This window comes from Homo sapiens, chromosome 13 (assembly GCF_000001405.40).
Source record: "Homo sapiens chromosome 13, GRCh38.p14 Primary Assembly".
NCBI lineage: Eukaryota > Metazoa > Chordata > Mammalia > Primates > Hominidae > Homo > Homo sapiens.
This window is the reverse complement of record NC_000013.11, coordinates 112,456,222-112,476,834: the sequence shown is the minus strand read 5'-3', so window position 1 is coordinate 112,476,834 and position 20,613 is coordinate 112,456,222. Positions and strand designations below refer to the sequence as shown.

The following is a 20,613-nucleotide window of genomic DNA, read 5'->3' as shown; positions in this document are numbered from 1 at the left end:
GGCATTACTGTAACCTCATTTCTGGTATTAGTAAATTGTGACTTTTCTCCTTGATTGGCCTGGATACAGATTAATCACTTTTCCTCATCTCAAAGCAGTGGCTCTTGTTGTCATTGATTTTTCTGTATTGTTTTCTGCTTTATATCTCATGGATTTCTGCTCTCATCTTTATTATTTCCTTTCTTATAACTCCGAGTTTTTCTGTTTTTCTTGAGATGGAGGGTAAGGTGACTGAAATCTTTCTGCTGCATTCCACAGTTAGTTTTTTTTGAGACGCAGTCTCATTCTTTCACCCAGGCTGGAGTGATGTGGCGTGATCTCGGCTCACTGCAATCTCCACTTCCCGGGTTCAAGCAAGTCTCCTGCCTTAGCCTCTTGAATAGCTGGGATAACAGGCACCTGCCACCATGCCTGACTAATTTTTGGATTTTTAGTAGAGATGGGGTTTTGCCCTGTTGGCCAGGCTGGTGTCAAACTCCTGACCTCAGGTGATCCACCTGCCTTGGCCTCCCAAAGTGTTAGGATTACAGGTATGAGCCACCGCGTCTGGCTCACAAATTTTAATATGCTGTGCTTTCATTTGTATTCATTTCAGAATACTTGCTAATTTCTCTTCTGTTTTGTTCTTTGACCTGTGGGTTGTTTAAAAGTTTGTTATTTGGCTTTCAAATATTTATGGATTTTCCAGATATCTTTCTGTTACTGACTTATGATGTAATCTCATGGTGGTCAGAGTTCACATTTATTGAGATTTGTTTTATGACCCTGAGGAAGGTTTGTCTTGGTAAATGTTCTGTGAGCGCAGAATAAAAGAATCTTATTCTGCTGTTTGGTGGTGGAGTGTCCTGTGAAGTCAATCAGTGTAAGTTGGTTGATATTAATCATATTAACCATTGAGGTCTTCTGCACCCTTACTGACTTGTGTCTACTTTTACTGTCAATTATTGGGAGAGTGTTGTTGAAATCTCTGACTATAATTAGGAATTTGCCTATTTCTCTTTGCACTTCTCTCATTTTTACTTCATGCATTTTGAATCTCTGTTATTATTAGGCTCTTAGGTATTTAGAATTGTTATGTTCCCTTGATGAACTGTCCTGTTTGTCATTATAAAGAGGCTTTCTATTCCTGGTAATATGCTTTGCTTTAAAATATACTTTGTTATAGCCACTCCAGCTTTCTTTTGATTTATATTAGCATGATACATAGGTTTTTCATTCTTTTACTTTTAGTCTTATTTATGATTTTATATTTAAAATGGGCATCTTGTAGACAGCATACAGTTGGGGTGTGTGTGTGTGTGTGTGTGTGTGTGTTTTATCTAATCTGGCAATCTCTACCTTTTAATTGGAGTTTGTAGACTTTACATTTAGTGTGATTATTCACTTGGTTGGGTTTAAATCTACTATCTTGTATTTGTTTTTCTTAACTGCTGAGACAAGACCCTTCTTAGTTCTCATTTTAAAATTAGGTAGTTAATTCAACAAATATTATATCTATGATGTACCGTTGTTAATTTGCACTTTTAAAATTAGTAGAGAAGGAAGACTTTGACTTCTGGCTCAAATGGAATAATAGTGACCAGATTTACCCTCCTGCCTGGTACAAACAAAAGTCCCGAAGAAACAAGACAAAATATAACAGTGAGTCTCATATACACCTGACAGCGGAGGACAGAGACCTAAGAGACTGGAGAAACCAAGGTGAGTCCTGCAGTTGCCCTGACTTACCATCTGGATGAAGCTGACAGTCTGCACAACAGGGAGCAGGGCCCGGGCAGGCGCGGCAATTTCTCTGAGGTGAGATGGAGCCGGTTGTCCTGGGAAGCTGAGGTGGCTGGAGTTTACAGCACAGAATGTCCTAAGAGACACTAACTAAGCAGAGGAGAGGCCAGGGCTAGAGCTCCGTGTGTGGGAATCGTCAGCATAGAAATAGTACTTGATGGTATGAGATTTCCTTGAAAGAAAGTACAGACAAGAGAGTTCAGGACTAACCCTGAATTTTTAGAGGTTGAGCAGGAGACTTGGAGAGTTGCAGGAGAGTTGGAGAGTCTCAGGAGCCAAGAGAACGGAGTTGCAAGGAACACGTCGTCAGCTCTTTTGAATACTGTGGAAAGACAGAATTAGATGATGATAGAAAATTGGTCATTGTGTTTGGAAAGATAATTTTGACAAGAGTTATTTTATTGGAGTGCTGGTTTTTCAGATTTATTGGTTTTTTAAAAGAAGCAGCTTTTGATTATATGGACTTTATATAATTTCTCCACACACATATATAGTTTAAAGTTTAATCATAAAGCCAGCAGCCACGTTACAACCTCCTAGTTTAAAATACAGGACATTTCTAGTAACCTGAAAGCCTCTTGGCTCTTTCTGATGATATTTCCTGCTCTCTGTGCAGGTTAATCATCTTATCTTTTGTGGCAATCACTCTCTTGCTTTTCCTTATAATTTTACCACCTGTGCGTATACTCCTCACAATAATGGATTCATTTTGCCTACACTTGAATTTTATGTTAGTGCCATCCTTCATATTTTATAAGTGAGGTCATACTGATACCTATAATTTGAAGGTATCACATTGATATCATGTCAGCTATAACTGACATTCACTCATTGATATGTACTATTCTGTTTTTTTTTTTATCATACCATAACTTCTTCAGCCATTCTACTGTTAATGGATATTTGGATTATTGGCAATGTTTGCCTGTTACAAGTGTTGCAGTGTGAACATTTCTTGGGCATATACGCAAGAGTTTTTCTAGGGTAAATACCCATGGGTAGAATTGCTAGGTCATAGGATATCGTCAACTTTACTGCACAGTGCCAAGCTATTTTACAAAGTGCCAAGTTACATTCCTACCACCAGTTCCTGAAAGTTACCAGTGCGCAGCATCCTGGAACATTCGGCATTGCCAGGCTTTAAAAGTTTTGCTAATCTGGCTACTGCATGATGGTATCTCATTGTGGCTTTAATTTTTACTTATTAAATACTAATGCGGTTGGACATGTTTTTATATATTCACTGGCCACTTGAACTTTTTATTTTTGAATTTCTGGTTCAAGTGTTTTCCACTTTTTGGAGGGTTGTTATTGATTTGTAGGGGTTACTTATGTATTTTATATACCGGTCTTTTGTTGGTTACATATATTCCACATATCTTTCAATTTCTAGCAAGATTTTAACTTTCTTTGTGTTGTCCTTTCTTGAACAGACATTTTAAGTTTCAATATAGATCTATCTATATTTATGTTTTTTTAAAAATGTTATGGTTAGCAAACGTGTATTTTTGCTTTTTAGTTTATTTTTGACTTTTATTTTAGTTCAGGGGGTGCATGTTCAGGTTTGTTACATGGGTAGATTGTGTGCTGCAGAAGTTTTAGATACAAATGATCCCATCACCCAGGTGGTAAGTGAGCATAGTAGCCAATAGGTAGTTTATCAGCCCACCCCCACCTCCTACCCTCCCACCTCAAGTAGCCCCCCGTGTCTATTATTCCCGTCTTTGTGTCCCTGTGTGTTATAAGCTCCTGCTTATAAGTGAGAACAGACGGTATTTGGTTTTCAGTTTCTTTTGTTAATTTGCTTAGGATAATGGTCTTCAGCTACATCCATGTTGCTGTAAAGGACATGATTTTATTCTTTTTTTGGCTGCGTAATATTCCATTGTCTACACATACCATATTTTCTGTATCCAGTCCACTGTCGATGGGCATCCAGGTTGATTCTGTGTCTTTGCTATTATGATCGTGCTGCAGTAAACACATGAGTGCGTGTGTTTTTGTTTGTTTTGCTTTTTTGGTGGGACGATTTATTTTCCTTTGGGCATATACCCAGTAGTGAGATCACTGGGTTGAATGGTAGTTGTGTTTTAAGTTCTTTGAGAAATCTCCAAACTGCTTTCCACAGTGGCTGAACTAATTTACATTCCCATCAACAATGTATCAGTGTTCCCTTTTCTCTGAACCCTCACCAACATCTGTTGTTTTTTGACTTTTTAATAATAGCTGTAATTACTGGTGTGAGATATTATCTCATTGTGTTTTTGATTTGCATTTCTCTGATGATTAATGGTGAACATATAGTTGTATGTTTATTGGCTGCATGTATGTCTTCTTTTGAGAAGTGTCTTTTCATGTCCTTTGCCCATTTTTTAATGTAGTTGTTTGTTTTTAACTTGTTGAGTTGTTTAAGTTCCGTATAGATTCTGGATGTTAGAACTTTGTCAGATGCATAGTCTGCTGATATTTTAACCCATTTTGTAGATTTTCTGTTTACTCTGTTGATAGTTTCTTTTGCTGTGCAGAAACTTAGTTTAATTAGGTCCCATTTGTCAACTTTTATGTTTGTTGCAATTGCTTTTGGGAGCTTAACTATAAATTCTTTGCCGTGGCCCATGTCCACAATGTTATTTCCTAGATTTTCTTCTAGAGTTTTTATAGTTTTAAGTCTTACATGTAAGTCTTCAATTAACCTTGATTTGATTTTTGTATATGGTGAAAGGAAGGGGTCTGGCTTCAATCTTCTGCATATGGCTATCCAGTTATCCCAGCACCATTTATTGAATAGGGAATCCATTGCATGTTATGGTTGACCTTGTCAAAGATCACATGGCTGTAGATGTGCAGCCTTATTTCTGGGTTCTCTATCCTGTTCTATTGGTCTATGTTTTTGTTTTAGCTTTCAACCCAGTACCCTGCTGTTTTGGTTACTGTAACCTCGTAGTACAGCTTCAAGTCAGGTAGTTTGATGCCCTACATATATACTTCCCATCACTGAAATCATGGAAGATAGCCTTCTATATTTTATTCTAAAACGTTAGTACAGGTTGGGTATCGTTATCCAATATGCTTGGGGCCAGAAATGTTTCAGATTTTGGATTTTTTTTTCAGATTTTGGAATATTAGCATTATATTTACCTGTTCAGCATCCCTAATTCAAAAATCTGAAATCTGAAATGCTTCAATGTACAGTGCATTTGAGCATCATGTTGGTGCTCAAAAAGTTTCAGATTTTGGATTTTCCAATTTGAAATGCTCAACCTATAGTTTTATCTTTAAATTTTGTTTTTAATCTACATGGGATTAATTTTAACATATGGAATGAGGCAGGAACCCATTTTCATTCATTTTTCATAAGTGTATCCAGTTTCCAAGCACCAGTAATTGAAAAGCTATATCTAAAGTACTGTTTCTGTCATAAAGCATGAATCTGTATATGTGTGTTTTTTCCCATTGATCAAATTGTCTTGCCCCACGCCACCACACCACTACAAGACTGTCTTAATTTCTATGGTTCTTATTCTTCAAGAATGGCTATATCTGACTTTTTCTCTTTCATATAAATGCTAGAATCTAGTTCTACCTGCCCCCCCGCCCCACCAACAAAATTGGTATTTTGGTTAGGATTGTAAGGCATCTGATATGGTTTGGATCTGTGTCCTCACTCAAATCTTATGTTCAGTTGTAACGGTCAGTGTTGGAGGTGAGGCCTGGTGGGAGATGATTGGATCATGGGGGTGGATCCTTCATGAGTGGATTAGCACCATCCCCTTGGTACTATTCTCCTGGTAGTGAGTGAGTTCTCACAAGATCTGGTTGTTTAAAAGTGTGTGCACCTCCCCCATCTCTTGGTCCTGCGCCTGCCATGTGAGACGCCTGCTCCTGCTTTGCCTTCCACAATGAGTAACAGCTCCCTGAGGCCTCCCCAGAAGCAGATGCTGCCATGCTTCCTGTACAGCCTAAGGAACCATGAGCCAATTAAACCTCTTTTCTTTGTAAATTACCCAGTCTCAGGTATTTCTTTATAGCAGTGCAAGAATAGACTAATATAAATTGAATTGGAGAAAGATGACATTATAATACTTATTCTACTGATCTATGAACATAGTATATCTCTCCATGTTTGCCTAGGTCTTTCTTAATGTCTCTCAAGATTCTATAAATTTCTACATGATGGGTTTGCACAATTTTTGTTAAATTTATTCTTAGGGACTTTATTTTCTTAACACCATTATAAATGGTATCTTTAAGGTATAATTTTCTACTTGTTGCTGATGCACAGAAATGCAATTACATTTTATCCTGTATTTTTTTTGAGATGGTGTCTCACTCTGTCACCCAAGCTGGAGTGCTGTGATATGATCTTGGCTCACTGCAACCTCTGCCTCCCAGGCTCAGGCAGTCCTCCCACCTCAGCTTCCCAGTAGCTGGGACCATAGGCATGTCACCATGCCCAGCTAATTTTTTGTATTTTTTGCAGAGACGGGGTTTCACCATGTTACCCAGACTGGTCTCAAACTCCTGAGCTCAAGTGATCTGCCCATATCAGCCTCCCAAAGTGCTTGGATTACAGGTGTAATCCACCATGTCTGGCCAATTAATTTTTTATATATTGATTTTATATCCAAAATTCTTGCTAAATTATCTTTGCAATTATCTATTAATTCTAGGAGCTTATCTGTTTTGTTCATTGGATTTTCTGTGTACCTAGTCTGGCTCTCCCAAGAAGGAGGTAGCAAGATGGAATTAGATTTATTAGGGAACACACCTGCAGGGGAAATGGGGAGGGGTTCAGTGGGGGTTGGGTAACCCAGCAGACCATGACTGAGCTCATATCCTCATGAAGAAGGGAGAGGAGGAGGAAGATTGGCACAAGGATCTGAGACTGCAGTGCAGTTCTGAGGATGTTTGGCAAAGCCAGTGGGGATCCTTGAGCTAAAGTTGTCTGTCAGAGGAGTCTCATGTCTTCCAGGATGGGCATGAACTGGGGGCAGCCCGTGGAGAGCATGGCCTCTGTCTGCATAGGGGCTGGGAGACCTCTGCATGTTCCTGGGCATAACAGCTGTGGCCTCAGATCTCATTCCCACAGATGAAGGTCTCAGCCATTTTCATGGCCACACAGACCTATTTCTCCAGACACATCTGGGGAGCAGCTCTTTAATGTTCCCGTGGGTCTCTCTTCCCGAGGCGAGGCTCTAAAGAGGGTGTGTGGGATGGCTGGCAGCCCTGGCCACTGTTTATGGGGCTGGAACTGGTGTTCCCCTCCTGCTCTGTTCATGTTAAATTCTCCTCACCCTTGGGGAATCTTTTGACTGGTGTTGGTGGCTTACCTCGTGGTGTAACCCGAACTTTCACTCTTAGGGTGCGAGAGTCTGAATCTTTGGTAATTCACCCCTTTCAGGCCAGGCTTGCTGCACAAAAATGAGACAAGGAAGTTCCAGGAGGCACCAGCTGGGATTGTCTGGGTCCCACGTGTGCTACTTCCTGTCCCAGCATGTCTGCCACCCTGCCTCTTCCCGTGCTCCTGCCAGGGTGGTGGCTCCTGGGCACAAGACGTATGGGTTCCCTGGCACAGCTGTAACCCGTGGTTCAGAGGGAACCTTGCCCTGGTAGGGGAGGTTTGAGTTGGGGGACGCAGTGCTATGGAGAAGCCTTTCTTAACTGGTGCACAGAGACCTGAGGAGTGGCACTGTCCTTGCAGGAGGCGCTGGAGAGATGCTTCAGCTGTACCTTGAGTCACTTGACCCGTGTTCTGGGTGGCCCATGTGCGACCCAGCCTGGAGGGACCGGCCCCTGCGTCCTCAAGGGTCACTTGCCTCCCAGCCGTGCAGCTCCTGTGCCCATCCAAGGCCTTGACCACATGGACTGAATGTTCAGGATCCTCAGGGGTCAAGCCAGAAATTTCCCATGTCCAGCAACTGAGGTTTGCTTAATAAACACCTGCACCACCATATAGAAATCAAAGGGAATTAGTAAATCCAAAGCTGTGGAAGAATACAATTGCTTCTTGACTTACCATGGGGCTTCGTCCAATAAACGTGCCTAAGTTGAAAACGTGTGGCCTAATCAGACACAGTGGCTCACGCCTGTAATCTCAGCACTTTGGGAGGCTGAAGTGGGAGGACGGCTTGAGTCCAAGAGTTTGAGACCAGCCTGGACAACACAGTGAGACCTCATCACCACAGAAAAAATGCATGGCTGCCTGGGGGCTGCCCAATATTGTGAGAGGACAGCTCCTACTGCCTGCTCATCCCTTTGCATTGTGGTGAGGTCAAAAATCCGACCTCAGGGACCTTCTCTATAGTGATATGCAGTGTGATGGGGGCAATATAAAATGGCTAAATAAACAGACCTCATACAGGAAGTGTGCTACATACCTCTTTCAGTAAAGAGGGACTCTTAAAAGTATATAAACTTTATATATGTAAAGTTACATACAAAATATATGAATTTTATTATATGTAAGTATATTTACCTTTGAATTGACCAATCAAGATAGAAAGACTAGAAAATATGCCCCAAAATAGCGAGAGTTCTCTCTGATTATAGAATTAGTCAGGATTTTTGTTTTCTTCTTTGTACTTTAAAAATTTTATTGTTTATGATGAATTGCTTTTGTAAGCCAAATAAAAATTAGAGAACTAATATATAGGTTCAGAAAAGCTAGGAGTGAAAGCAGCTGCTTTAGAGGGCTTTACTGCAGGTGTTGGGGGAGTGTCACTGGCGGGAGCCCTGAGCCACCACGCCTGAGAGTGGCGGGTGTGCCTCGGGCCATGTGGTGTCCCCCGAGCTGCGCCGAAGAACCAGCCACGTGCTTTCATCCCTGCGCGTTTTCAGCCTTTCACCTCCCCTGTGTTGAAAAACACCACAAGCTCTTCCCTAATTGTCCCCTGTGTTGCACAGTTTTGGGATCTTTAAGGACACATTTGAATCCTTGGAGAGCCTGTTCACAAGTCACCAGGTGCATTAAATTGGAGATTTGCAAGGAGCCCGGCGTCCTGACTTAGACCCTCGCCCCTAGCCATGTCCCCTGCTCTCTGTGGAGTCTGGCACAGACGCCGGTGTGGGATCTGAGCATTTGTTGGATCAACGGCCAGACACCTGCACATCCTGAAGGCACCCACAGTGTCAACTGTCTGGGGGTCCCGAGGGGTCAACAGCCTCACCTGGAATGGAGATCTCCTGCCTGTAGGGGTTTCCCAAGAATACAGAGGTGTCATTACCTCTGAGGTGCGTTTGGTTATTGTGGCCTCTCTGCAGTAGGGGACAATTTCCAAAATCGTTATCAACACCTAATACGCACCAGGCACTTCCTGCGGGTTACCTCTAGCTCTGACAGCCACCCTACAGCGTTTTTAAGATATCGTTCTTTTTTCATCTGAGGAGACCAAGGTTCAGGAGGTGAAGCGGACCTGAGTCACCCTCCTTCAGATGCAGTGTAAGACACCAGGCACCAAAGCTCCTCTCCCGGTCCAGCCAGAGAGGCCACCCAGGTGGGGCTGCGACCTGCTTGGGGCGCCCAGCCGCGAACAGGGGAGGGCTGCGGTCCAGCTCCTCTTGCCGGCATGGTGTCCTGCACGGAGCTGTCTGGACCCCACCGAGGTGGCCCACGTAGGGCCTGGCAGCTTCCAGCGCCCCTTCCTCCTCTGCTGGAGGTCTCGGCCCCTCCCCAGCCAGCGCCCGAGAGGAGTTGGGTTGCCTAAGCATGAACCCTGTTCCGGAAGCGAGGTTGGCGCGAACCCAATCCCCACCTGGGGCTCCTGGGGGAGGAGGTGCGGGAAGGGGAAGAGGAAGGGAAGTGAAAATTGCACAAAGATCTCTGCGCTCCAAAAATATACCTCTGCTATCTAGAAAATTGAGTAAAATGGGATGGAAATTTGGCTAAGTGATTATGGATATTGTTCTGTGGACGTGTTGCCAGGTGTCTCATAAAGAAGAGAAATAAATTTTTATTTCTCTGCCTTTACGCTGGGCTTAAGGTTTTAATAAGAATGCAGCGAGGGGATGTCGCGCAGCAGCTTGCCTGGAACTGAGATCATTGTTTCCGACAGAGCCTCAGGCCGCATTCCTCTGGCACAGGGGGGCCGGCTCCCCCCACACCGAGAGACCCCGGGGAGCCCGGGATGGGGGATGTAGACCGCGTGTCCGGAGTCCCATCCACCCGCGGCGTGTGGGTGGCGCTGGGCTGGTGTCCTGGGGGAGGAGGCCTGGGCACCCTGGAGGCCTCTAGGCCAAGCGGGCGCCTGTTTCAGTTTCTGCGCCCTCCTGGTGTGGGCCGCCCCATCCGCAGGCTGGAGAGAAAAAGCGCTTCCCGTGCACCCTGTCGCTGGGGTCCTGGGGAGAGGAGCTCCCGCTTCCACGTGGGGCTGTGCATGGAGAAGCTGGGAGGAGGCGCCGCTTCTGGGACCAAGTGGGGTGTCCGGTGTTCCTGGGGTGAAGTCTGCATCCCACGCCTGGGTGTCTAAGGGCTGAGTTGAGTTGGACACCCGGGTGGAAGCAGCTCTGAACAGTGGTGCAATGTTGTCCTTGGAGCCATTTCACCTTGGGTCCTGATGTGGCCCCTAAGAGAAAGTGCCTAATGTCAAAGCCCGTGCTTTAGGGGGGCCAGGAGGCCTCTGGGTGCCTCAGCACCCACAAGGTGCAGTCCAGAGATTCCGGACGGGGAGACTCAGGGCTGCCTGTCTTCAGCCCAGTGATCTCTGGTGCAGCCCGTGTGTCAGAGGGACAAGAGGCGCACATGCCAGGAAGGGTCCCGAGGGAGGGTGGGGTCCCCTGGCCTCCGAGTTAGCAGGGCCTCACTCCACCGTGCTTTCTGCACACTTCAGTGTGGCCCTTTCTCTGTGCCTGACTCACCAGGCTTCCTTCGGTGTGTGTGTGCATGTTCACATGTGTGTGCACATGGATGGGGCACTGTCTGTGCCTGTGTGCATGCCTGTGTGCCAGCCTGCTCTGACATTTACGCTTGTGAAAACTGAGGTATGAGAAATGCGCGATTCGGCTGCTCTGACAGATGCAGGCTCCCCGCCACCCACTTCCCTGAGCCCCAGGAAGCTCCCTTTGTCCCCCGGCCAGAGCCACAGTGGAGCTGGTGTCTAGCAGCACAGGTGAGCTCTGCCTATCCCTGAACTTCCCGCCTGCCACACGTGCCCTCCGTGCCTGGCGCTCTGCTCTTCAGAGTCCTCCTGGTGCCCCGTGTCTCCGCTCGCGGGTTCTTGTGGGCGGGTGAGGTGCATCCCATGTGTGAAGGTACTACAGCTTATCCACTCCTCTCGCCAGACACCAAGGCTGTTTCCAGCCTCTGGCTATTTTTTAATGTGTTATTAATAAACATGCCATGAACGTTTGTGTGCAAGTTGTGTGTGCACATGTTTGAACATCTCTTGGATAAATGCTTGAAGTGGAATTTCTGGATTGTGTGCTAAGCGTTATATTTAACTTTATAAGCCACTGGCAAGTGGGTGTGGAAAGAGCTCACACCTTTCTGCATTCTCACCAGCCGCTCGTGGGTTCTGGCGGCTGCACGTCCTTACCAACATTTGGAGTTACCAGCCTTTTTCATTCTGGCCATTTCAGGGACGTGAGGCGGTGTCTCGCGTCCCCCACGCCCACCTGGTGGCTGTGGCTCCAAACGCCTTTCCTGGGCTTGCTGGCCGTTTGCTTGTCTGCTTCGTGAAGTGCCTCTCAAGTGTGTCGCCCTCTGTTATTGGGCTGTTTTTCGTCTTCATTGGATCGTAGGTGATCGTTGTAGATTCCGGCTGCAAGCCTTCTGTCAGATATGAATTGCAAATACTTCCTCCCTATTTATGGCTTGCCAGTTTAATTTTTAAAAGCTTCCTCACTTTGAAACAATCTCAAACTTACAGAAAAGTGGCAAGTACAGTAAAATAACTTTTTCTTGAAGGATTTAGTGATAAGTTGCAGACCTGTCACCCCATCACCCCCATGTTTTTCAGTTTGTTTTTCCTACAAACAACGATGTTCTCCTACGTAACCACGTCACAGCCAGCAGAACCCGGAGTTGAACACGGATCGACTGCTTCCCTGACAGCCAGACCTCACTCTGCTTCTGCCCTCTGTCCCCAGCAAGGTCTTAGACTGCAATTAGATGGCGAGTGGCTCAGTCCAGATCACACCCCCACGAGTCGGCAGGCGCCTGGTTCTCGCTCAGTCTGGAGGTTAGCGGTCTTGCCTTGGCTTTTCTGGCCCTGAAACTTTTGAAGAAGATAGACAGTTATGTTGTAACTTTTCCCTCAGTTTGGATTTGTCCAATGTCTCTTCACCGTGACATTCAAATTATGCACCTGTGGCAGCAAAATTGCCGAAGTCATGTGGTGTCCTTCCTGTGCCCTGCTGTTGGGTGGTGCCTGAGCTCAACTACAACTACCCAGTGAGGCGCCTGCCAGATGTGTCCACTGTGAGCTCAGTCTTTCCCTCTTTGAAACTAACAGCCTTTGGGGGGTGGATTATGAGAATACGTAAATATTCCATTCCTCATCAACCCTTCAGATCATTTATTTATTTATTTATTTATGGAGACAGAGTCTCGCTCTGTTGCCCAGGCTGGAGTGCAGTGGCACGATCTTGGCTCACAGCAACCTCTGCCTCCTGGGTTCAAGCAATTCTCCTGCCTCAGCCTCCCAAGTAGCTGGGATTACAGGGGTATGCCATCATGCCCAGCTAATTCTTGTATTTTTAGTAGAGATGAGGTTTCACCTTGTTGGCCAGGCTGGTCTCAAACTCCTGGGCTCAAGTGATCCACCCACCTTGGCCTCTCAAAGTGTTGGGATTACAGGCATGAGCCACCACGCCTGGCCTATGTAATTATTTTTATCAGGGTAGATTCATGGTTTTCCATTTTATTCAATGGGATATAATCTGTTACCTTCACTAGTTTTTTTTCATGCTGAAATTCTCCCATATTTGGCCCGCAGGAGCCCCTCCAGCTGGCTTCCATGCCCTCTCCCCATGATGCTGTGGCTGCTTGAGTCCTGCCTAACTTCTGACGAAACACAATATTCCAGGCTTCTCTGGTGCCTTCCCTGCCCCTGCCCTGGGATCCACCATTTCTCTCCAAAGAGCCCTGGGTCCTGTGAGTGGAGAATGGCACCCAAGACCTGGGACGGTTTTTGCTTCAAGTGTTAGAGAGCTTTCTTATGGGATGCACACATTTAAGATTCTTATGTCTTCTTGATGAATCGACCCTTTTATCATTAGAAGCTGCCCCTCCCTTTCTCTTAAACCATTGCATTTAAGGTCTGCTTTAGTATTAATAAAGCTACGGCAGCTTTCTTTCACTTAGTGTATACAGGGTATATCTTTTTCCAACATTTTACTTTTAACTTCTTTGTGTCCTTAGGATTAAACTGTGTTTTCTATAAACAATATATAGTTGGTCTTTCATTTTTATTAGTTTTATAATATCTACCTTTAAACTTGTGTATTTAGTCTACTTACATACAATATCAATATATTTGGGTTTGATTCTACCATATTTCTCCACATTTTCTACATATAAATCATCTCTTCTGCCCTTTCTTGATCTGTGCCTTTTCCCCTGCCAAGGTGAATTCTGTAATTTTGGTTGGTATTGAATCTTATTTCCTCCATTGATCTGGTGTTTTTGCATCATCCTTTTTTTTTAGTGCTTGCTCCAGATATTAAAATGTACATCTTTGTCAACCTCCATCTTAAAAAAAATCTACTACTTCATAAATAGTGTAAGCAATTTTTCAATAGCATAATCCCTTTGTACATTTTGTCTTTATTTCTACAGATATTGTAAACAGCAAATTACTTTTTAATTATTTTTACTTTAAACAATCAATAGCCTATTCAACACACGTATATATGTTTGGGAGAAAATGTAAATGCAGAGAAATAGAGAACATATATATACATATACATATACGTACAAATATTTTTAAGGTATTTTGTATTTAACATGATACAAAATTTTGTTAGTGTTTATCATGTCTATCAGGTATAATTTCTCATCAGACTAAAGGACTTCTCTTAGCATTTTGGATAATGCTATTCTGGAGATAAAGTCATTCAGCCTTCACCTATCTGAGGATGTCTTTGTTCTAAAGAATATTTTTACTAGATCTGGAAATCTAGGTTGATGCTTTCGTCACATTAAAGATGATGTTTTCTCATCTTCTGGCCTCCTTTGTTTCTGATGGGAAGTTGGTGGTGTTCTCATCTTGTCTCGCTGTGTGTGCCATGTCTTTTTGCCTCTGGCTGTTTTCAAGACTTGCGCTTTCTGGGTTGCCTTCGGCAATCTGACCATGATGTGCCTTGGAGTGCTTTCTTTGTAGTTTCCTACTTGGAGTTGCCAAGCTTCTTGCATTTGTGGTTCTCTTATTTTTTCAATGTCCTTGCCCATTATTTTTTCAGAGAGTTCTATGCCCCATTCTCTTTCTCCTCTCCTTCTGGAACTCCAGTAACATGTACACTTGCTATTATTCTTCACCCACAGGCCTCCAATGCTCTGTTTTTTTCCCTCCCTCACTCTGTTTGTCCCTTTTCATCAGCTTGGGTAATTTCTATTCATGTCTTCAAGGTCACTGATTCTTTCCCGTGCTATCCACAGTCTGCAGAGGCACCCGTAAAGAGAGCTCTGACCTGATACAGCGTTTTCACTTCTAGTATTTGCATGTGTCTGCTGTCACCTTTTTTCCCCTTGATTTTGTAACATATTTAGCATTGTTGTTTTAAGGTTTTTGTCTGAAATTCCAGTATCTGAGTGATTTCTAGGTTTGGTTCTGTTGGCTGTTTCCTCTCTTGATGGTGGGTGGCATTTTCCTGTTTTCTGATGTGTCCTGTCGTGTTTGGTTGACTGCTGGAAGCCTGTTTGTTGGCATGCGTATGCCGCCCACACCCAGGCTGCGGCCTCTTCTTGCCAGTCTGTACTGCAGTGGGTTTGGTCAGCCTATTCTGTAGCTGAGCTGGGTTTGGGCTTTACTGTTAATTTAGTAAGATTCTGTTCACCACAGACTTCATGTGATTTGAAGGCCAAATCAGAACTCTCCTTTTCTTGGGCTCAGGTGCCTGTGGGCTCCATCTTAGCTCCCCTGCCTTTCCTTGGGTGTCGTCTGGCTCCTGACATCTGCACCTGGGGGAACCCTCCACCCCCTCCCCCTCCCTGTGGTAAACGCCCCCTGCTTTGTACTCAGTGCAAGCCCTGGGGTGCCTCTGGGGCTTCGCTCGGCCTTGGTCCCTGCCCTTAGACTGCAGCAGGCTTCGTGTGCCTGCGCCCGAGAGGTGGGGCCCTCTGCTTCCCTGTCTCTCTGCAGGCTTCATGCGCCTGCCCCCGAGAGGTGAGGTCCACTGCTTCCCTGACTCTCTGCAGGCTTCATGCGCCTGCGCCTGAGAGGTGGGGCCCTCTGCTTCCCTGTCTCTCTGCAGGCCTCAGAAGAAGGCATGGGGTGTATGAAGGGCTCGTCCCCCTTCTGCTGCACCCTTGCTCCTCAGTAGGCCTTTCATCCCCATGTTTTGGAGGGCATCTCTCAGCCTTCCGCCATATACCCCATCCTTCTTAAGGGCACCTGGAGAAGGACCATGAAAAATCCCTGGAGGTGGGGGTGGGTTCTCCTGCGTCCAGACTCACAGGCACTCTAACGCTAATGCCACCCCACATTCAGCCTTTACACATTTGTCAGAAGCTTATCTGTTGTCTTCTTCTTTGTGTCCCTGGAAGCTTCCACCTCCCCCATGGCTGGTCCGTGGCTGATGGCAGCTGTGGGCACTTCTTGGGAGGCTGCTGATCCGTGGATTCAGCTCACTGGGCTTCTGTCCAGTTTCAGGTCTCCGATGAGCTTTTAAAAGATGACAATTTTTAGATTATCTAAGTTTTTCTCGCTTTATGGAGGGAGCCACATTTCCTGTGCCATCTGCAACCTGAGTGGGAACAGAGCATCAGTGTCTTCTTTCAGCTGGCAGGATCCTCAGAGGATCTCGTGAGGAGATGGGACGGTGTCCTGACTCTCCTCTGTGAAGCACAGAGTTTTGAAGGTCAGCTCATGGCCAAGCACTGTAAAGAGTTGCCAACAGTTACACATTTCATTTTACAAAAGAACAAAGGCTCCAAATTTGCCAGTATTCCCTGTGATGATAAATGGCTATCCATAGTATGCTACTGATCAAATATTTTCAAAAATATTAAAATGCTCAACCCCTTCAAGGTAGAACCTCGCTAATAATGTTTTGACAATGAATGAAGCAGCTACCTTTCAAAAGAAATGCATCTGTGGAGAAAACATTTTTGAAATGAATGTTCAAAAATGTGGTTTTATTATGTGGTTTTGTGGCTAAGAGTGATGTGTCACCTTTTTTTAAGTTTGATTTAAATCCTTAAGAAACTTGAAAAAATAGTTTTCAAACTTGTTTAAAAATATACCAAGAAAGGGATTCCAGTTGATTGGCCCTATTTGTTAATATTATTGAAATTCAATACATCCTAATTAGCCTGGACGAACAGCTGATTGTCATCATGGAGTATAGAAACGTACAGCCCAAATTTTAACAAAATCCTGGGCAGAGTTGGTCACTGGGATTGAATAATACACAGCACTGTTTAGAAGTATAGCAATGATGTGCTTCTCCACTGTGATGAATGTATCCTTGTGAGGAATCATTTTGAAGAATCATTTTTCAGATGTCATAGTCATTAAAACTGAGTATCAAAATTAATTAAACTTAAATGTCACTTCAGATAGTTGCACTGCAAAGTGTTAAGCCAAGGGTTTCCTAACAGCATCCAAGCCAAGAACCAAATCAGGGGCATAATCCCATTCACAATTGCCACAGAAAGAATAAAATACCTAGGAAGACTTTAGCTAACCAGGGAGGTGAAAGATCCCTACAAGAAGAACTACGAAACACTGCTCCAAGAAATCGGAGAGGATACAAACAAATGAAAAAACATCCCATGCTCTTGGATAGGAAGAATCAATATCATTGAAGTGGCCATACTGCTCAAAGCAATGTACAGAGTCAGTGCTATTCCCATCAAACTACCAATGACATTCCTCACAGAACTAGAAAATCTATCCTAAAGTTCATATTGGAGCCAAAAAAGAGCCTAAACAGCCAAGGCAATCCTAAGCAAAAAGAATCAAGCTGGAGGAACCACATTACCTGACTTCAAACTATACTACAAGGTTACAGTAACCAAAACAGCATGGAACTGGCACAAAAACAGACACGTAGACCAATGGAACAGAATAGAGAGCCCAGAAAGAAAACCACACACCAGCAACAATCTGATCTTTGAAAAAGTCAGCAAAAACAAGCAAGGAGGAAAGGAATCCCTCTTCAATATATGGTGTTGGGAGAACTGGCTAACCATATGCAGAAGATCAAAGTTGGACCCCTTCATTACACCATATACAAAAATCAACTCAAGATGGATTAAAGACCTAAATGTAAAACCTAAAACTATAAAAACCCTGAAGATAACCTAGGATATACCATTTTGGACATAGAAACTGGCAAGGATTTCATAACAAAAAAGCCAAAAGCAATTGCACAAAAGCAAAAGTAAACAAATGGGACCTAATTAAACTAAAGTGAAAAGAAACTACCAACAGAGTAAGCAGAAAACCTATGGAATGGGAGAACATATTTACAAACTATACATCTGATAAACATCTAATATCTAAATTATACAAGGGACTTAAACTAAAGTACAAGCAAAAACCAAATAACTCCATTAAAAAGTGGGCAAAGGACATGAACAGACACTTTTCAAAAGAAGACATATACTTGGTCAACAAGCATATGAAAAATCATCAGAGAAATGCAAATCAAAACCACAATGAGATGCCATCTCATACCAGTCAGAATGGCTATTATTAAAAAGGCAAAAAAATAGCATGCATGCTGGCGTGGGTGTGGAGAAAAGGGGACACTTATACATTGTTGGTGAGAGTGTAAATTAGTTTGGCCATTGTGGAATGCAGTGTGGTGATTCCTCAAAGAACTAAAAAAAGAACTACCATTCGACCCAGCAATCCCATTACTGGGTGTATACCCAAAGGAATATAAATCGCTCTAACATAAAGACACATGCACACGTATGTGCATTGTAGTACTACTCACAATAGCAAAGACATGCAATCAACTTAAATACCCATCAATGAGAGACTGGATAAAGAAAATGTGGTACATATAAACCATGAAATACTATGCAGCCATAAAAAGGAGTGAGATCATGTCCTTTGCAGGAACATGGGTGGAACTGGAGGGCATTATCCTTAGCAAACTAACACAGGAACAGAAAACCAAATACTGCATGTTCTCACTTATAAGTGGGAGCTAAATGATAAGAACACATGAACAGAAAGAGGGGAACAAAAGGCTCTGGGGCCTACTTGACGGTGGAGGAAGGAGAGGAGCAGAACGAAAACAAACAAAAAACAGCTATTGGGTAGTATGCTTAGTATGTGGATGACAAAATAATCTGTACACCAAACCCCTGAGTCATGAGTTTACTTATATATCAAACCTGACATGTACCCTTGGACATTAACCTGCACATGTACCCCTGAATATTGACTTTTAATACTTAAAAGTTAAAATAGTAAAAAAAAGGAAATCAAATGTTTCAGAAATAATTAAGCAAATCAAAGCATGGAACTCTCTAAAATCATTATTATTTATACCATATTTTAGTGAGAGCAGGAAATGATTGACGATTCCAAAATTACACAGAAACTTTTCTTTTATATAATTCTTATCTCATCCTTCAAAAATGTCTTTTTGTTATGTGATGTGTATAACATAGTAACAGTTCTTGTACACAACTTTTAAATACGTGTGCATGCTCATTGGGATTCACGTTCCGAATTTCAAAACGTAGTTCTTGTTTCAGGAAGTTCAGAGGTTACTCTTTTGGAAGATCCATTCTTGGATGTGCTGGCAAAAGCACTGTTGTAGAGATGCTTTTGGGGGAGGCTGCACATCATTCATGAATAAGTCCCAAAGGCAGCATTTCTAATAATGCGTTGTCTAATATGTATTAGAGCTGGCTTGGAGGTGTCCCTGGGGAGCCCCTCTTTCCTTCGCATCCATCCCGGAAGCTCCTCGAGTGGAGAGAGTCGAGGGTCGGCAGGAAGACAGCAGGAAGTTGAGAAGAGCAGCATCCATCATGTGTCACTGCTGAAAAATAAAAAGTAAACACCAAAGCCGAAGACCATCCTTTGAAGCCTGAGTCAGGCCCAGGACCTGGGGAGGCTTATGAAACTCAGGTGCCCCGGCCCCGCCCAGAGCTTCCGGCCCAGCAGGTCTGGGTGGAGTTGGAGAGTCTGCATTTCCGAAAGGTGCCTCTGAAAGGGATGTGGTGCCGTCATCCCTCTGGAGCTTTGAAGCCATGCAGCCGGACTTCAGCAAGAATGGTTGCATGGACTGTTCAAACCCGCACCTGCCGGCCAGCGGCTGAAGAGCCCGTGTTGACCATAAGGGACAGGAAAGGGAGCACTCTCTGCACAGCCTCGGGGCCCTGCTGTGGCCCTTACCTGGGAGGGCTGGCCTGGCGCAGGCACAGGCTGCTGAGGACCAGCTGCTGGCCGGCCCTGCCCGACCAAGGCCACCTGTGTTTTCATTCCCAAATTTATTTTCTGGTTATAGGGACAATGTCCCTATAACCAGAGTGGTATTAATGTGTAGGTGGCACAGTTGTGTACTTATGGGTGTGGTTTGGGGAACTCTGTCTTAAAAATGCCCTCCTGACTGTCTTGGTGCCTGCTCCTGGGTGCCCCAGACAGGGGTTTTCCGGTGGCTTCAGGCTGCGTGGCCCAGTGAAGCCGGTGCTCACCACGTGGCCACGGCCGCTCCAGGTAGAGATGTGCCGTGGGTGTAAAAGTAAATATCTTATTAATGCGTTTTTTCTACTGATTACTTATTGAAATGGCAATGTTTTAGATATATTGGGTTAAATAAAATAGTAAAACAAATTTCTCCTATTTATTTTCACTTTGTAAAAATGCGACTCCCAGAACATTTGCAGTTCTGTGTGGCTTGTGTCTGTGGCTCGCACAGTTCCTTGCACAGCACTCATTCCCTCTGAAGCAGACAAGATGCGTGGACTTCGAGGAATGTCCCCTCCTCTCCTGCTCCCCGTCCTGTCCCCGTGCCTTCCCAGGCCCCTCCCCTCTTTGTCTTTTCCTTGCCTTCCTTGTGGATGAAGTTCAGGGTGTCAGGGAGAAGCCTGGGACCCCTGGCCCTCGCGGATCTGCAGTCGAGGGGGCTGTTTCCTACCCCATTCGCTGTCCTCCTTCCTCTTTCTGTAGCAGAACCCTGCATTGATTTGGGGCAGCAACGAGCCCCAGTGAAAGCCTGGTTTTCTAATCTGTTTCACCTCTAGGTATTGCCGCATGACTCGCAATGAGCGGTAACTAGACACTGTGTGAAGGAATTCCTCTAGTGGATCTCTAGTCTCATGCTCTTCTCTCCATCTTCATCCTTCCAGCTGCTGGGAATGTGGTCATGAGGCTGGAGCTTAGGCAGCCTTCTTGACCACAGGAGGCCACTCCCAGAGAGGGGAGGCACCGTAATGGGAGGAGCCCTCATGTGGGCATTACCTGCCTGCCTCTGGTTTCTTTCACACAATTGAGAAACGGACTGCTTTCTTGGGTAGCCCTGTTCTACGCGGCCAACTCAGCCTTGACTTTTTTGCCCCTCTTGGTCTGGGTTCTTGCAGGGAAGGTGTCCACAGTCACTCCATGCAGTGACTCGCCTGCAGCTGTGGCAGCCGGGGCTCCACCCACATCTCTGAGATGCCCGCACTGTCGCATCTTGTCATTTGTCTGCTTACACACCTGTCCTTATGTG

General features: G+C 44.6%; 1 long non-coding RNA gene across 3 annotated transcripts in view; it reads left to right on the top strand.

Moving 5' to 3' along the window:
• Positions 1-698: 698 nt before the first annotated feature.
• LOC105370372 (uncharacterized) overlaps positions 699-20,613 on the top strand; it is a 97,399-nt gene continuing 77,484 nt past the window's right edge. The window contains exons 1-2 of one of the 3 annotated variants that reach the window (XR_944294.2): positions 699-862; positions 1,537-1,701. This is a non-coding gene — a long non-coding RNA (uncharacterized LOC105370372). Of the gene's footprint in view, positions 863-1,317; positions 1,702-20,613 lie in introns of those variants that run through there. The other 2 variants (XR_944292.2, XR_001750036.1) reach the window with 2 other exon arrangements.